General features: G+C 36.2%; 1 long non-coding RNA gene across 2 annotated transcripts in view, besides 1 other annotated feature; it reads right to left on the bottom strand.

The window, feature by feature from the left end:
- Positions 1-19188, bottom strand: part of LINC02699 (long intergenic non-protein coding RNA 2699) — a 470852-nt gene that overhangs the window by 411523 nt on the left and 40141 nt on the right. The gene's annotated exons all lie outside the window — the stretch shown is intronic.
- Positions 10499-11094: an enhancer, noted in NCBI's record as "OCT4-NANOG-H3K27ac-H3K4me1 hESC enhancer chr11:25523381-25523976 (GRCh37/hg19 assembly coordinates)". NCBI's record gives its function as "activates a minimal SCP1, AML or CMV promoter by ChIP-STARR-seq in naive H9 embryonic stem cells {active_cell/tissue: H9 hESC(naive)}" and the evidence as "EXISTENCE:reporter gene assay evidence [ECO:0000049][PMID:30033119]".

Below are 19188 nucleotides of genomic sequence, written 5' to 3'. Positions count from 1 at the left end.
TGTTGGGGAATTTAAACATAGGAAATATTTCAGTCAGGATAAAATCAAGATAATTTTAGTAGCAACCAATTTAAAGTATCTGAAACAAACTAGTAATCTCTTGTAAAGATATTCTGTTTTTCATCGAAGGAACTACAGAAAAGAACTCAGGAAAAACAAGAAATTGGAGACTATTAAATTTAACATTCTTTTTTTCAGCCTTTGCTTCTCTCTAAAAATCAATATCAATTATCTTTCTTTCACTCCTTTGGCCTGTAGTCTTCTGTGACCTATGTGGTAGAAACATGACCCTTCAGAGCTCCTATATTTACATGCACAGTGAGACTGACTCAACTAATCTTTGTCCTAATTCCAGTCTCTTCAAAGAGAGAACATGATTGTCCCAGATTTCATCTAGAGAACATAACTTATCTTAGGAGAGCAAAAGATGTAGTTTCTTCCAATGGATAGGAGGCTTCAGACCCAGGAATAGCCTATATTTCAGTTTAAGTCTGAAGGCAGAAAAACAACAACAACAACAACAACAACAACAACAACAACGTACCAGATCAAAGACAGTCAGGTAGGAGAAATTTAATCTTATTCAGAGGAGGATCAGCCTTTTGTTGTATTCAGCCCAACTGATTGGATGGTGCCCATCTACTCACATTATGAAGGACAACCTGCTTTACTCGGTCTATTGATTTAAATTTCAAACTCATCCAAAAACACCTACACATAAACACCCAGAGTAATTCTGACAAAACATCTGGGCACCTGGTGGCACAGTCACAGGATAAGGTCTCAGGAAACTTACAATTATGGCAGAAGGGTGAGGGGGAAATAAACATGTCTTCACATAGTGGCAGGAGAGGGGAGAAGAGGACGTGAACACGCTTTTTAAAAAGCGGGATTAGGGGGATGGGTCTAAGCCATTGAAACCACCCCCATGATTCAATCACCTCCAACCAGGCTCCTCCTCCAACAATGAAAATTACAATTTTACATAAGATTTGGGTGGGGACACAGAACCAAACAATATAACTGTTCAATGTCTTTTTGTTTCAACTTGAACAGCTAACTTTATATCTTGTGTAAGAAAGATCTCGTGGTGATGAACTTTCCCATTGGTTGTCTGGGAAAGCCTTATCTCTCCTTCATTATAAAAGGATAATGTTGCTAGCTACAGAAGTTTTGGCTGTCATTTTTCTTTTCTGTCAGTGCTTTGAATATATTACCTCACTCCCGACTGCCAAGGTTTCTGCTGAGAAATCCAATGATAATCCATAGACATTCCCTTTTATATGATTCGTTTTCTTCTCTTGATAATTTTTATAATTATTTATTTTTGACTTTTGAAAATTTAATTATGTTGTATTTCAGTGTGGTTCTCTTTAGATCCAAATTCCTGGAGATTTTTTGGCTTCATAAATCTGAATGTCCATTTTCCTTCTTAGATTTGAAATGTTATTTCAAATTATTTCTTTAAATAAGCTTTCTGCCCTTTTCCCTTTTTTTCTCCTTCTTGGTTTCCCATAAAGCATATATTGTTTTATTTGATGATTCCACTCAGGTCCTATAAGCTTTCTTCAGTCTTTTTATTTTTTTCTCTTTATTCCTCTAATTGAATAATTTTAAATGACCTATCTTTGAGTCCATTGATTCTTTCTTCTTGAAGATCTCTATTTCATTTTTCGGTTCAGTAATTGTACTCCTTAGTTCCAGGATTTCTGTTTGATTTCTATTTGGTTAATCATTATTGTTTGTATTTCTTTGTCACACTTCTCATTTTGTTCATGCATAGTTTTCCTGATTTCATTTTGTATCTGTGTTTTGTTCCTCATTAAGCTTTTTTCTAGATGGTTATTTTTGAATTCTATAACAATCAGTTTGTGAATCTCCATTTGTTTAACATCAGTTACTGGAGCTTTATTAGGTTTCCTCGGTGGTGTCATGCTTTCTGATTCTTCATGATTCACATGCCTTTGCATTGACATCTGTGCATTTGAATAGGCAGTCATGTTTTCCAGGCTTCACCAACTAGTTTTGCTAAGGAAAGACCTTAATCAGTCAGCCTTATCAGAGATTCTGGGGGTTGACTGGCGGTATCTATGGGTAAGCCTAGTGGAATTATTTGTAGGAAGTCCTACTGCAAGTGTGGGCCTACTGCCAGGATCTGCGGATGGATAGGTCTGCTGTCAGGGATCCATATGTGGACCAGGCTGCTGGTTCATAGACAGGTAGGGAGAAGGTGAGGCTGGGAGTGTATCTATGGTTGGACAGGGTTGGTTTCAGGGTCTGTGAGTGGGTGGGGCTGCTTCTGGATCCACAGGCAACAGGCCTGCTACAGCTAGTACAGCTGGTTAAGGCTCCTGCTGTGTCTGTGGGAAGGTGGGGGCTCCTGTTGTCTTTTGTTTTGATCAACACAGCAGAATTTGTCTAATCTGTGGAGTGATAAGCAATATGGAATTGAAATATGTGTTAAATTTGATTTTAACCATTATAGCCATAGCAGTTGTTCATAGCCAAAATCCATTTGGATTTGTTGTACCCATGTAGGCTGTATCCCCATTCTTTTCCAGTTATTACATATTTTAGTGTCATCCTTATGTGTAAGTTTAACAATAACCTTATGTTTTCAATTGTCCCTCTTGCATAACCCTTCAAAGATTTCTTAATACAGTTGGATAATAAACTCTTACACTATTTTTCTTTTCTCTAAGTAATAATTCAGATAAAGATAGGTTGCTTAACAACCTTCTCACTCTCCACCTGTTATCAAATTCCACTGCCACATATTTGAGGTTTTTATTACAGTAACATGTCCTTTTTCTGACTAACATATATTATTGGGTAAAATACTGCATAACAAACTATACAAACTCAGTTACTTAAAGGAACAATAACTTATTCTATGTCACACAGTTGTATAATGGCTGGAGTAACTACCGATACAGGCTAGGTTTGGTTGGGAGACTCTGCTTCTAGCTGCATATTTAGCTATAAGTTTCATTCGGATCTGCTCAGGATGTGTTTATTGTAGGTTTCAGATTGAAGGGTAATGACTATCTGAGAAACAGTTACTTTCTCATGGATATAGCAGAGTTGCAAAAGACAAGCCAAATAGCACAAGCACATTTTAAGTCTCTGCTCACCTCATATCTGTTAATGCTCCATTGACTACAAAACATGCATGATCAACCTAACTGTTAAAATAACCTTTCCAAAGAGGAGGAGAGGGACAGTGAACATTTTGAAAAAAAAAATGAATATACTAAAATGCCCAAGTCTAGATATGTGGATTTACTCTCAGTGAAAGCAGTGGGAAATTTAATTTCTTTTCTTAACATACCAAAAATCTGTCATTAGCTCTATTCACAGTAATTTTATACTAGATCTCATCAGTACATTTCACAATTTTTTGACCTGCCAACATTAGCTGTATGTTACACAAATGTCAACATTGTCCCCATTAGACCAGAATTCATTTCTAAGGTTTGAGATTTCATTGTTACATTTTATGTGCTAAGATTTTTAAAGGAAATATGTGAATCGATATTTGTACTTTTTATCTCTTTTCTCTTTATAACATCAAGCTTCCTCTTACCTTATTTATCAAAAAATCTTAATCATATCTCTTAGAATCTATGCAATTCTTGTGCCAAGCACATCTTATTTAACTTAGTTTATATTATATAAATTTTTATCATTTTATTTAGTATATTTTATAATTCTGATATGTACATTTTAAGTAAAAAAATAAAAATGTATTGATTCAAAATGATTACTTCAAGATCCTAGCCCCTGCATGTATCAAAATTATGACTGTGGAACAATTATTTCAAGTTTTAACCCTTGTCATATTATCTAAAGTTTCTTATCTGCTTACGTTGACTGTTGCTCTAATACATTCCACATGTAGTAACACTTCAGTTTGGGAAGAATAATTTATTTAAAAAATGCTTTAAGTCCACTGACAAAGTGAATTAAAGATTCAGAAATGGACCTTGAAACTAATAAACCCTTTTATTTAGTGAATCAGTATCATGACCAGAATGAGGATATTTAAAGACTATAATTTCACCCAGAGGAACCTAAGATTACCTGAGTATGAAGTTTAAAAAGTGAGGAAGATTCTATTACAAAATCTACAACTGTAAATCTCAATCCATATAATAAAATATCATGTAATGATTTAATACTGACTGTATTTTAAAAACATTTATATTTAGGCTAATTTATTAAAGAACTATTTTGATTTTTTTTAGAAATAATACCTTGTAAACACTTCTATTTAAATTTACAGTTTATAAAATTGTATATGTATAAAGTTACTTTATCCAGTTTTAACTTGAATTTGGAGAAAAAGGACACTCAATGAATGCTTTCCTTATGAATAATTTCAACCTGTGATTGAAACACTATTGAAGGGCAGGCTCCATGTTTGAATAACTCTCCATGTTGAATCAATCAGCCTAACTCCAATCTTACCTAACACAATGCTCCTAGGCAGAGGGATAAATGAAACTTACAGCTGATTTGCATTTAAAAAATGAGTAGATTATTTACATGTTTATTTGCTTGTCCATCAGTAATGAATCTGTCTATAACACATAAACTCCTTAATCCAATGACAGGATTTCCCAGGGGAATTATTGCGAGTAAATAATTGGGCAATAGATAATACATGCAAAGAAACATTTTGAAGGTACTAGGAATTACCTAAATGTATGAAGGGTTCAGAGAACTAAGGATTAGAAGTTGGCTGGAGTTTCACAACTGCAAATTAAGTTTCAGCCAGAAAACAGCATGTCACAGAAGCCTTATGAGTGAATCTATTAAAAGGATACTACTTTGCACAGACAAGTTAATGGGCCAAACTTGTATTTCTCACACTATGAGCAAAAGAGTAGGCACTACCTTAGGAGCTAATGTCCTTAACTGCAGGACCTAAAGTAATTGGTTATAATTACAGTAATGATAATGATAGACAGTTCGATGTTTATATCAATGAACTATGTTAAAAAATTTCATGATCCTGATTTAATTCTGCAAGTATTCTCATAAAGAGTATAACTTTATAAATTTTATTTTACATATAAGGAAACTGATATGAAAAGAGATTAAGTACCATCATTAATTTACTGGTACCAAATGGACTTTTCCTTTTCATTGAAATTAAATTATAATTTTCTTTTTAATTTATCTCATTTGCTACTCAAAAGTAACTACTGTAAAGTCTAGAAACTGTAACTCTAAAAAGACGTCTAGTATGAAAATTATTAAATTTAGGGGATTTTTAAAATTGTTAAATTTATTAGCATAGCCATTATTTTAAAATATATGTCTAAATTTACACTTAAATATACATTTAAGTGTATATTTAAAAAATAAAGATAATACATACTCAGAAATTCTAAATTTCCTAATTATATTACTAAGTTTAATATAATCAGTACAATTGAAATAACTTTATTGTATATATAAGGTGAAAATACAGCTCTCTTCCAGTGTACAATGTTCAGTAATATCATATTAGTAGGTTAAAATAGGCCATTGTGAAAATTTACAAATTTATAAAATAGTAAATTGGTAAATGTTACAAGTTAGAGCTTGATTCTATTGATTGTGTCTACTGACAGGAAAAGTATAAAGTGTAAATTAAACTAAAAGTGCACTGTCATTAGCTATTACATAGGGATAACACAAAAATTGAGGAAATAGTCTTCTAGCATTCAATATTTCATGTAATTCAGTAAAACTCATTTGTATCTGTGATGAACAAATAAAGATTTTGCATGTCTTTCTTGTTTCCTTTTCATTTTGTACATTAATACAACTGAAAAGTTCAGTCAATAAATGTCAAAATTATGTTTGTTTTTTAATTATAACCATAGTTTGGTTATAATATAAAAGGGTAGAAAAATTAACAAAGGCATTATGGAAAAATTGATTTGTTATAGGAAATTTAAAACAAATAATATTTTACATTTATTATTATTTGTAAATCATTTCTCTCCACATAATTTTCCTTTTTGTTGGAAAATTTCTTTCTAAGTCAGACTTTGTTTGACTAACAAAAATGTTCACCAGCCGTAAGATGAAATTCTACTGCATCCAAAATCTCAGCAGAAAGAAGACTTGCCTTCCCAATAATCTTAGCCAAAGTCCTAAGATTAATTCTATTGGCCTGGTTTGGGTCAGGATCAATCACTGAAAATGTGATTGCTGCTGTGGAAATGGAGGTCAGATTGGCCAATTCTGGGTTACATTCAGTACCCTCTAGAGTCCAAGTTTGAATTCAGTTTCATCAAAGCCAGAGGGTATTTATTACCATTAAACAAGCCTTGCAAGAGATACTTAAGGGAGCAATAAACACATAAACAAAAGAACAATGCCTGCTAGCATAGAAACATGTATACATAATTATACAACCCACAGACCTTATAAAGCAAATACAATCAAGACTACAAAGCAACCAGCTAGCAATACCACACCAGGATTAAAACCTAACATATCAATATTAACCTTTAATGTAAATGTTCTGAACATTTCACTTAAAAGGCACAGAGAGGCAAGTTGGATAAAATAACAAGACCCAACCTTTTGCAATCTTCAGGAGACCCATCTCACATATAACAACACCCATAGGCTCAAGGCAAAGAGAGCAAGAAAATCTATCACATAGACAGAAGACAAAATGGGGTACAGGTGGCTATTCTTATATCAGAGAATGCAGACTTTTAACCAATAACAGTAAAAACATCCAAAGAAGGGCATTATATGATGAAAAAGGGTTCAAGTCAACAAGAAGGCCTTAACTGTCCCAAATATATGTTCAGCCAACACTGGAATACACAAATTCATTATACAAGTACTTCTAGACCTACAAAAAGACTTAGACAGCCACACAATAATAGTGGATGACTTCAATACCCCACTGGCACCATTAGATAGACCACTGAAGAAGAAAACTAACCAAGAAATTCTGGACTGAAATCTGACATTTTACCAGTTGGATGTAATAGATATCTATGGGATAGTTCACCCAAGAACCACAGAATACACATTCCTCTCATTTGCACATAAAGCATACTTTAAGATTGACCACATGCTTGGAAATAAAGCAAGCCTCGATAAATTCAAAACTATAAAAGGTGTATCAAGCATATTTTCAGACCACAGTGGAATTAAATTAGAAATCAATACCAAGAGATATCCTTCAAGAGGATATCTCAAAAACATACAATTATATGGAAACTAACCAATTTATTTCTGAATGACTTTTGGGTAAACAATGAAATTAGGGCAGAAATAAAAATATTCTTTGATATAAGAGACAACAAACCAAATCTTGTGGATGAAGCAAAAGGAGTATTAACAAGAAATTTATAGCACCGAACACCTACATCAAGAAGTTAGAAATATCTCAAATTAAAAATTAATATTGTACCTAGAGTAACTAGCAAAACAAGAACAAACTAAACCAAAAGCTAGCAGAAGACAAGAAATAACTACAATCCTCGCAGAGCTAAAACAAAATTGAGACCCACAAATCCATAAAAAGGTGAACAAAATGAAAATGTTTTTTTCCGAAGGATAAACTTGATAGACCACGAGTGAAACTAACATAGAAAAAAAGAGAGATCTAAATATGCATAATCAGAAATGAAAAAGATGACATTACAACTCATCCCATAGGAATACAAAATATACTTAGACGTTACTATGAACACCTGTATGCCAAGAAACTAGAAAATATAGAGGAAATGGATAAATTCTTGAAAACACACAACCTCCTAAGATTGAATCAGGAAGAAATTGAAATCCTGAAAAGACCAATAATGAATCCCACAATTGAATCAGAATTTAAAAACCTACTAACCGAAGAAAGCCCAGACCAGATAGATTCATAGCTAAATTATACCAGACGTACAAACGATAGCTTGTACCAATCCTACTGAAACTATTCTGAAATTGAGAACGAGGGTCACCTCCCTAATTCATTCTGCAAAATCAGCATCATTCTGACATTAAAATCTAGTAATGACAAAGTGAAAAAACGAAAACTACTGGCCAATATCCCTGATGAACAAGGATGAAAAACTGCTTAAGAAAATGTGAGCAAACCAGATTTAGGAGCACATCAAGAAGTTAATTCACTATGATCAAGTGAGTTTTATTCCTGGGAGGCAAGTTTTGTTCAATATATACAAATCAATAAATGTAATTCACAATATAAACAAAATTAAAAACAAAAATCATATGATCATCTCAATAGATGTAGATAAAGCTTTCAATAATATCCCAAATCCCTTCATGATGAAAACCCTCCACGGATTAAGCATTCAAGGAACATACCTCAAAATAATGAAATCCATCTATGACACACCCATAACCAACATAGTAGTGAATAGGTAAAAGCTGGAAGATTCCCCTTAAGAACATAAGACAAGGATCCCCATTTTCACCACTCCTATTCAATATAGTACTACAAGTCATACCCAGGTCAATCAGACAAAAGAAATAAGAGGCCTCCAAATAGGAAAATAAGACAAATTATCTCTTTTCACTGATTACATTATTCTCTAGAAAAGAAAACATAACACTTAAAGATTTTGCCAAAAGGCTCCTAGAACTTATAACAAACTTTAATAAAGTTTTAGGATACATAATCAATGTACAAACATCAGTAATATCTTTATACACCAATAATATTCAAGCTGAAAGCCAAATCAACAACACAATGCCATTTATACATCATCCACAAAAAATAAAATACCTGGGAACACATCTAACCAAGAAAGTGAAAGATCTCTATAATAACTACAAAACAATGCTGAAAGAAATCATATATGATATAAACAAATAAAAAAAATTCCATACTTATGGGATAGAATAATCAATATTGTTAAAATGGCCATACTGTCCAAAGTAATCTACAGATAATATGCAATTCCCATCAAACTACCAATGTAATTTTTCACAGAATTGGAAAAAAACTATTTAAAATGTATCTAGAACCATTAAAAAGTCTGAATAGCCAAAGCAATCCTAAGCAACAGGAACAAAGCCAGAGGCATCACATTACCCAACTACAAGCTGTAATATACGGCTACAGTAACCAAAGCAGCATGGTACTGGTACAAAAACAGACACATAGACCAAGGAAACAGAACACAGAACCCAGAAATAAAGCTACACACCTACATATATCTGATTTTCAACAAAATTGACAAAAACAATTTCAGAAGGTACTCTCTATTCAGTAAATGATATTGTAATAATTGGCTATTCATACGAAGATGAATGAAGCTGGACCCCTATCTCTCATCATACACAAAAATTAACTCAAATTAATTAAAGACTTAAATGGGCCCACCATCATGTCCCACACCTACAATTTCAGGTCCCAACCAGGGACTTGCATTTGAAGTAGGGGGAGCAGTATTCTTGGGGCCAATGGGAAAAGAGTTAAAAAGACTTGTATAGCTAGAAAATGTTTACACAAGCCTCATGATAATCACCAAGAAAAATCTACAGTAGATACATGAAAGATAAAGGGAAAAGATAAAAAAAACACTACCAAAGTAAATCAAACCACAACAAAATTAGCAAGAGATGGACAAGAAAACTACAAAATAAACAGAAAGTAATTAACAAAATAGCAATAGCAATTTTTTAACTACAAATAATTACTTGAAATGTAATGGAATAAATTCCCCAATTAAATGACATAGGGTGGCTAAATGAAAAACAACAACAACTAAAGAATATACTGTCCACTACAGACTCAGTTTAGATTTTAAGGACAATCATAGGCTGAAAGTAAAGAATTGGAGAAAGTTATTTAATGCAAATAATGACCAAAACAGACCGGGGCGAAAAGCTGACTCTAAATCCAAAACTATCATAAGAACAAAGAAGGTCACTGCATAAAGATAAATAGGGTAATTCAACAGGACGACATAGCAATTATAAATATATAAGCACCCAACATAAAAGCATTTAAACATATAAGGCAAACATTGACACTTCAGAAGAGAAAAGCACACAGCAATACAATAACAACAAGATATTTCAAAGTCTCTCTTCTAAATATATTTTGTTTCCTACTCCTTTTATTTTTCAGTCAGTGGATATGGAGGCCTACTGGTCAAGCTAGGAACATTTCCACTAAGAAACACAGTGGTGGTTCTACCAAATTCTAGGTAAAAGCTTTTATAGGGTGGCTCATTTTTTAAAATTGCTTTATGCTCTCTCCAAGCTCATTAAACTTCAGTAATTATTAGTTCCTCTCGTTCCTTTCTATCTAAATGTGGTAACAACTTCTTGATGTCGCCAGACCCTAGGGGCTTCATATTACTTGTTAGATATTTTAGCTGCTGCAACTAACTCTTCATTAAATTCTCTTTGGCTAAAATATTTAAGTGTGCTCTCTATTTTCTATCAGCATTGTGACTGCTGCAGACTATGCGTACAAAATTCTCCTGAACATCATCTTTCTTTATACTAAGGTTCTTTCCTTTGACCAAGACTAAGAGGATACTATCTACCTGCATTAAAGTTTCCCAGAAAGAGGTAATTTAATTTTTTTATAGATAAAATTTTATTTCAATTACTCTAAATTATATGTTTTAATTAAACAGGCATCAAAGTAATATTATTTAAAAATGATAGTTAAGCAGAGATTCTTAGGATAATTGATAATAGAACTACTACAGATTAGTGTATCTTATTATTTCTCTGAGGGACTTATTCTTCTCACCATCTTTCCTTATAGAATTTTGTTAAACATAAGAAATTTCGAGGGGGAGGAGCCAAGATGGCTGAATAGGAACAGCTCCGGTTTACAGCTCCCAGCGTGAGTGACACAGAAGACGGGTGATTTCTGCATTTCCATCTGAGGTACCGGGTTCATCTCACTAGGGAGTGCCAGACAGTGGGCGCATGTCAGTGGGTGCGCACACCGTGCGCGAGCCGAAGCAGGGCGACGCATTGACTCACTCAGGAAGCACAAGGGGCCAGGGAGTTCCCTTTCCTAGTCAAAGAAAGGGGTGACAGACAGCACCAGGAGAATTGGGTCACTCCCACCCGAATACTGCGCTTTTCCCACAGGCTTAAAAAACAGCGCACCACGAGATTATATCCCACAAATGGCTCGGATGGTCCTACACCCAGGGAGTCTCGCTGATTGCTAGCACAGCAGTCTGAGATCAAACTGCAAGGCAGCAGCGAGGCTGGGGGAGGGGCGCCCACCATTGCCCAGGCTTGATTAGGTAAACAAAGCAGCCAGGAAGCACGAACTGGGGGGAGCCCACCACAGCTCAAGGAGGCCTGCCTGCCTATGTAGGCTCCACCTCTAAGGGCAGGGCACAGATAAACAAAAAGACAGCAGTAACCTCTGCAGACTTAAATGTCCCCCTCTGACAGCTTTAAAGAGAGCAGTGGTTCTCCCAGCACACAGCTGGAGATCTGAGAACAGGCAGACTGCCTCCTCAAGTGGGTCCCTGACCCCTGACCCCAGAGCAGCCTAACTGGGAGGCACCACCCAGCAGGGGCAGACTGACACCTCACAGGGCCGGGTACTCCAACAGACCTGCAGCTGAGGGTCCTGTCTGTTAGAAGGAAAACTAACAAACAGAAAGGACATCCACACCAAAAACCCATCTGTACATCACCATCATCAAAGACCAAAAGTAGATAAAACCACAAAGATGGGGAAAAAACAGAGCAGAAAAACTGGAAACTCTAAAAAGCAGAGTGCCTCTCCTCCTTCAAAGGAACGCAGTTCCTAACCAGCAACGAACAAAGCTGGACGGAGAATGACTTTGACGACCTCAGAGAAGAAGGCTTCAGACGATCAAATTACTCCGAGCTCTGGGAGGAAATTCAAACCAAAGGCAAAGACGTTGAAAACTTTGAAGAAAATTTAGAAGAATGTATAACTAGAATAACCAATACAGAGAAGTGCTTAAAGGAGCTGATGGAGCTGAAAACCAAGGCTCGAGAACTACGTGAAGAATGCAGAAGCTTCAGTAGGAAATTCGATCAACTGGAAGAAAGGGTATCAGTGATGGAAGATGAAATGAATGAAATGAAGTGAGAAGGGAAGTTTAGAGAAAAAAGAATAAAAAGAAACGAGCAAAGCCTCCAAGAAATATGGGACTATGTGAAAAGACCAAATCTACGTCTGACTGGTGTACCTGAAAGTGATGGGGAGAATGGAACCAAGTTGGAAAACACTCTGCAGGATATTATCCAGGAGAACTTCCCCAATCTAGCAAGGCAGGCCAACATTCAGATTCAGGAAATACACAGAATGCCACAAAGATACTCCTCGAGTAGAGCAACTCCAAGACACATAATTGTCAGATTCACCAAAGTTGAAATGAAGGAAAAAATGTTAAGGGCAGCCAAAGGTCGGGTTACCCTCAAAGGGAAGCCCATCAGACTAACAGCAGATCTCTCAGCAGAAACTCTACAAGCCAGAAGAGAGTAGGGGCCAATATTCAACATTCTTAAAGAAAAGAATTTTCAACCCAGAATTTCATATCCAGCCAAACTAAGCTTCATATGTGAAGGAGAAATAAAATACTTTACAGACAAGCAAATGCTGAGAGATTCTGTTACCACCAGGCCTGCCCTAAAAGAGAACCTGAAGGAAGCACTAAACATGGAAAGGAACAACCGATACCAGCCGCTGCAAAATCATGCCAAAATGTAAAGACCATCGAGACTAGGAAGAAACTGCATCAACTAATGAGCAAAATAACCAGCTAACATCATAATGACATGATGAAATTCACACATAACAATATTAACTTTAAATGTAAATGGGCTAAATGCTCCAATTAAAAGACACAGACTGGCAAATTGGATAAAAAGTCAAGACTTATCAGTGTGCAGTATTCAGAAAACCCATCTCATGTGCAGAGACACACATACGGCTTAAAATAAAAGGATGGAGGAAGATCTACCAAGCAAATGGAAAACAAAAAAACGCAGGGGTTGCAATCCTAGTATCTGATAAAACAGACTTTAAACCAACAAAGATCAAAAGAGACAAAGAAGGCCATTACATAATGGTAAAGGGATCAACTCAACAAGAAGAGCTAACTATCCTAAATATATATGCACCCAATACAGGAGCACCCAGATTCATAAAGCAAGTCCTGAGTGACTTACCAAGAGACTTAGACTCCCACACATTAATAATGGGAGACTTTAACACCCCACTGTCAACATTAGACAGATCAACGAGACAGAAAGTCAACAAGGATACCCAGGAATTGAACTCAGCTCTGCACCAAGCGGACTTAATAGACATCTACAGAACTCTCCACCCCAAATCAACAGAATATACATTTTTTTCAGCACCACACCACACCTATTCCAAAATTGACCACATACTTGGAAGTGAAGCTCTCCTCAGCAAATGTAAAAGAACAGAAATTAAAAAAAACTATCTCTCAGACCACAGTGCAATCAAACTAGAACTCAGGATTAAGAATCTCACTCAAACCCGCTCAACTACATGGAAACTGAACAACCTGCTCCTGAATGACTACTGGGTACGTAACGAAAGGAAGGCAGAAATAAAGAAGTTCTTTGAAACCAACGAGAACAAAGACACAACATACCAGAAACTCTGTGATGCATTCAAAGCAGTGTGTAGAGGGAAATTTATAGCACTAAATGCCCACAAGAGAAAGCAGGAAAGATCCAAAATTGGCACCCTAACATCACAATTAAAAGAACTAGAAAAGCAAGAGCAAACACATTCAAAAGCTAGCAGAAGACAAGAAATAACTAAAATCAGAGCAGAACTGAAGGAAATAGAGACACACAAAACCCTTCAAAAAATTAGTGAATCCAGGAGCTGGTTTTTTGAAACGATCAACAAAATTGATAGACCGCTAGCAAGACTAACAAAGAAAAAAAGTGTGAAGAATCAAATAGATGCAATAAAAAATGATAAAGGGGATATCACCACCGATCCCACAGAAATACAAACTACCATCAGAGAATACTACAAACACCTCTATGCAAATAAACTAGAAAATCTAGAAGAAATGGATAAATTCCTCGACACATACACTCTCCCAAGACTAAACCAGGAAGAAGTTGAATCTCTGAATAGACCAATAACAGGAGCTAAAATTGTGGCAAACATCAATAGCTTACGAACCAAAAAGAGTCCAGGACCAGATGGATTCACAGCCAAATTCTACCAGAGGTACAAGGAGGAACTGGTACCATTCCTTCTGAAACTATTCCAAACAACAGAAGAAGAGGGAATCCTCCCTGACTCATTTTATGAGGCCAGCATCATCCTGATACCAAAGCCGGGCAGAGACACAACCAAAAAAGAGAATTTTAGAACAATATCCTTGATGAACATTGATGCAAAAATCCTCAATAAAATACTGGCCAACCGAATCCAGCAGCACACCAAAAAGCTTATCCACCATGATCAAGTGGGCTTCACACCTGGGATGCAAGGCTGGTTCAATATATGCGAATCAATAAATGTAATCCAGCATATACACAGAACCAAAGACAAAAACCACATGATTATCTCAATAGATGCAGAAAAGGCCTTTGACAAAATTCAACAACACTTCATGCTAAAAACTCTCAATGAATTAGGTATTGATGGGACGTATCTCAAAATAATAAGAGCTATCTATGACAAACCCACAGCCAATATCATACTGAATGGGCAAAAACTGGAAGCATTCCCTTTGAAAACGGGCACAAGACAGGGATGCCCTCTCTCACCACTCCTATTCAACATAGTGTTGGAAGTTCTGGCCAGGGAAATTAAGCAGGAGGAGGAAATAAAGGGTATTCAATTAGGAAAAGAGGAAGTCAAATTGTCCCTGTTTGCAGATGACATGATTGTATATCTAGAAAACCCCATTGTCTCAGCCCAAAATCTCCTTAAGCTGATAAGCAACTTCAGCAAAGTCTCAGGATACAAAATCAATGTACAAAAATCACAAGCATTCTTATACACCAACAACAGACAGAGAGCCAAATCATGAGTGAACTCCCATTCACAATTGCTTCAAAGAGAATAAAATACCTTGGAATCCAACTTACAAGGGATGTGAAAGACCTCTTCAAGGAGAACTACAAACCACTGCTCAAGGAAATAAAAGAGGATACAAACAAATGGAAGAACATTCCATGCTCATGGGTAGGAAGAATCAATATTGTGAAAATGGCCATACTGCCCAAGGTAATTTACAGATTCAATGCCATCCCCATCAGGCTACCAATGAATTTCTTCACAGAATTGGAAAAAACTACTTTCAAGTTCATAGGGAACCAAAAAAGAGCCTGCATTGTCAAGTCAATCCTAAGCCAAAAGAACAAAGCTGGAGGCATCACACTCCCTGACTTCAAACTATACTACAAGGCTACAGTAACCAGAACAGCATGGTACTGGTACCAAAACAGAGATATAGATCAGTGGAACAGAACAGAGCCCTCAGAAATAATGCCACATATCTACAACTATCTGATCTTTGACGAACCTGACAAAAACAAGCAATGGGGAAGGGATTCCCTATTTAATAAATGGTGCTGGGAAACTGGCTTGCCATATGTAGAAAGCTGAAACTGGATCCCTTCCTTACATCTTATACAAAAATCAATTCAAGATGGATTAGAGAGTTAAACGTTAGACCTAAAACCATAAAAACCCTAGAAGAAAACCTAGGCATTACCATTCAGGACATAGGCATGGGCAAGGACTTCATGTCTAAAACACCAAAAGCAATGGCAACAAAAGACAAAATTGACAAATGGGATCTAATTAAACTAAAGAGCTTCTGCACAGCAAAAGAAACTACCATCAGAGTGAACAGGCAACCTACAAAATGGGAGAACATTTTCGCAACCTACTCATCTGACAAAGGGCTAATATCTAGAATCTACGATGAACTCAAACAAATTTACAAGAAAAAAAACAAACAACCCCATCAAAAAGTTGGCAAAGGACATAAATAGACACTTCTCAAAAGAAGACATTTATGCAGCCAAAAAACACATGAAAAAATGCTCACCATCACTGGCCATCAGAGAAATGCAAATCAAAACCACAATGAGTTATCATCTCACACCAGTTAGAATGGCGATCATTAAAAACAGGAAACAACAGGTGCTGGAGAGGATGTGGAGAAATAGGAACACTTTTACACTGTTGTTGGGACTGTAGACTATTTCAACCATTGTGGAAGTCAGTGTGGCGATTCATCAGGGTTCTAGAACTAGAAATACCATTTGACCCAGCCATCCCATTACTGGGTATATACCCAAAGGACTATAAATCATGCTGCTATAAAGACACATGCACATGTATGTTTATTGCGGCATTATTCACAATAGCAAAGACTTGGAACCAACCCAAATGTCCAACAATGATAGACTGGATTAAGAAAATGTGGCATATATACACCATGGAATACTATGCAGCCATAAAAAATGATGAGTTCATGTCCTTTGTAGGGACATGAATGAAACTGGAAATCATTCTCAGTAAACTATCACAAGAACAAAAAACCAAACACCACATATTCTCACTCATAGGTGGGAATTGAACAATGAGAACACATGGACACAGGAAGGGGAACATCATACTCTGGGGACTGTTGTGGGGTGGGGGTGGGGGGAGGGATAGCATTGGGAGATATACGTAATGCTAGATGACGAGTTAGTGGGTGCAGCGCACCAGCATGGCACATGTATACTTATGTAACTAACCTGCACATTGTGCACATGTACCCTAAAACTTAAAGTATAATAATAATAAATTTAAAAAATAAAAATAAAAATAATAAAATAAGAAATTTCAAAATCATTTTTTATGGTTTAGTGAAGAGTAAATTTAGAAGGAATTTTTTAGATTAACCAAGTCTAGTTCCCTCATCTGACCATCTAGGAAACTGAGGAAGGCCAAAATAGAGAAATGACTTCTCCAGGATCCCACAGCTCATGCCAGAAAATCCAGATTGAATCTCTGACTCTCAACATATCTGTGACATATTAATTCTGGAAAAGACACATTACTTCTTAGATGAAAATTGTACAACTAAAAAGGTACTTATCCCTAATATTTAAAAAATCCATGTACATGCAGTTATAATATACAAAATCTATGTAGAAACTTATAGATATGCAGATATAGATAGAACCAGGGATTAAAGGGTCTATTTATCATGTAGGAGAGCCTTTGATTAGAAGATGGGACTTATGAGAAGGAATAACAGTTCTCCCAATCATTTCATTAAATACTTTGTAATACTTCTCCATATCACAGAAACTACAAGTAACCCCTCTCTGACAACGTCAACAAGTGCTTTCACTCAGTGTTTGAATTAGGTGCAGCATGAAGGAATAAAACAACTGTGAATGGCCAAAAACTTACTAAAATTAATTATTGTTCTGATTAAGATAGAATTGCAGTGGGATTGACCTCCCAGAGATCCTGCCTAGTCTGACTTGAGAGGCTTTTTCAGAGAAAAATAACTTTGACCAATTAGACTAACATAATCCTTGACATCTGCCATATGAGCAAACTGCATAGGCGCACAAGTTTAGGTAAAAACCGGCAGAGAGCTTGAAGAAGATGTCAGAGATTGCAGAAAAAGTGACCTGGCAGGAAGCTTGCATTAACAATAGACTGATTTTGATGAGCAAGTTGGGTAAGAAAACAAAAACATGCAAAGCATGTCTTTACATTTTACAACTTTGCTCTATTTATGAAGCAATTATATTTATTTCTAAAAACAACTTCGGATTGAGACTATCAATTTTGCTACAGTTAAAGGTAAAGCCTGGCACACCTGTAACCCTATCTCCTCAGGAGGCTGAGGTGGGTGGATTGCTTGAGATAGGATTTGGAGGCTGTAGTGAGCTATGATTGTATACCCATTCCAGCCTGGGTGATACAGTGAGATACCCTCTGTGATGTTTAATATTGAGTGTCAACTTGATTAAATTGAAGGATGCAAAGTATTGTTCCTGAGTGTGTCTGTCAGGGTGTTGCCAAAGGAGATTAACATTTAAGTCAGCGGACTGAGAGAGGCAGACCCACCCTCAGTCTGGGTGGGCACCATTTAATCAGCTGCCAGCATAAAAGCAGGCATGGAAAGAGCAGATGTGCTAACTTTTCTGGCCTCCATCCTTCTTCTGTGTTGGATGCTTCCTGCCCTCGAACATTAGACTGCTCCTGGACTCTTGTACCTACACGATGGTTTGCCAGGGGCTCTTGAGCCTTCGGCGACAGACTGAAGGCTGCACTGTTGGCTTCCCTACTTTTGAGGTTTTGGGACTCAGACTGGCTACCTTGCTCCTCAGCTTGCAGATGACTTATTATGGGACCTTACCTTTTGATCATATGAGTCAATTATCCTAATAAACTCTTCTTCATATATACATATATTCTATTAGGTTTCTCCCTCTAGAGAACCCTAATACACCCTCTCTAATAATAATCATAATAAAAGGTGAAATAAAGAGTAACTGGTATTAAATTTGACAAATTTGTCTTTCACAACAGACTCTATCTCACTTTTACAATGGGTGTTATAAAGGTGATATGAGCCTGGTACAAAAACAGGACAGAAGGGAGCTGCTCAAGAAATGTATTCAAGGAATGATTACATGAATGGAAGATTAACCACACACACACCACACACTAACATCAAAACACACCAGTCATAGAGGTATCTTTCTGTAAAGATCCAGAAGATTCCCCAGGACTTTGGAATTGTCTTACTGACACTCTAAAGTGTATAACTAACTGATGGGATAAAAGATTAATTTGTCATTTTCTCCCTAGTCCTGTCTCTCTCACACTCCTTCCACAATCATATGTCATTATACCAGTTTTACTATCACTGCTTATTTAGTTTCTTTTAGAATGGTGTTGACTAAAGTAGAAGAAGTCAACTTTAGTTTTTGTAGCATGCAGTCATTTCACTTTACTTTCTGATGTGATGTAAGTTTCAACTATTTGCAAACTGACCTGTGACTTTTGATGCAGAAGACATTCGTGCAAGACAGGTAAGCAGTCATTTTAGATGTATTGAAAAACACTTTTTTGGAAATCTGTTAGACACGAGAAAAAAACTGAACTTGCCATCTTGTGTATTACTGCTATAGATTTACCTGCATGTGTGCTTCTTTCAGTTGTAT

Source organism: Homo sapiens, chromosome 11 (assembly GCF_000001405.40).
Source record: "Homo sapiens chromosome 11, GRCh38.p14 Primary Assembly".
Taxonomy (NCBI): domain Eukaryota; kingdom Metazoa; phylum Chordata; class Mammalia; order Primates; family Hominidae; genus Homo; species Homo sapiens.
Note: the sequence above shows the minus strand (reverse complement) of the source record. Positions and strands in the feature narration are given on the sequence as shown.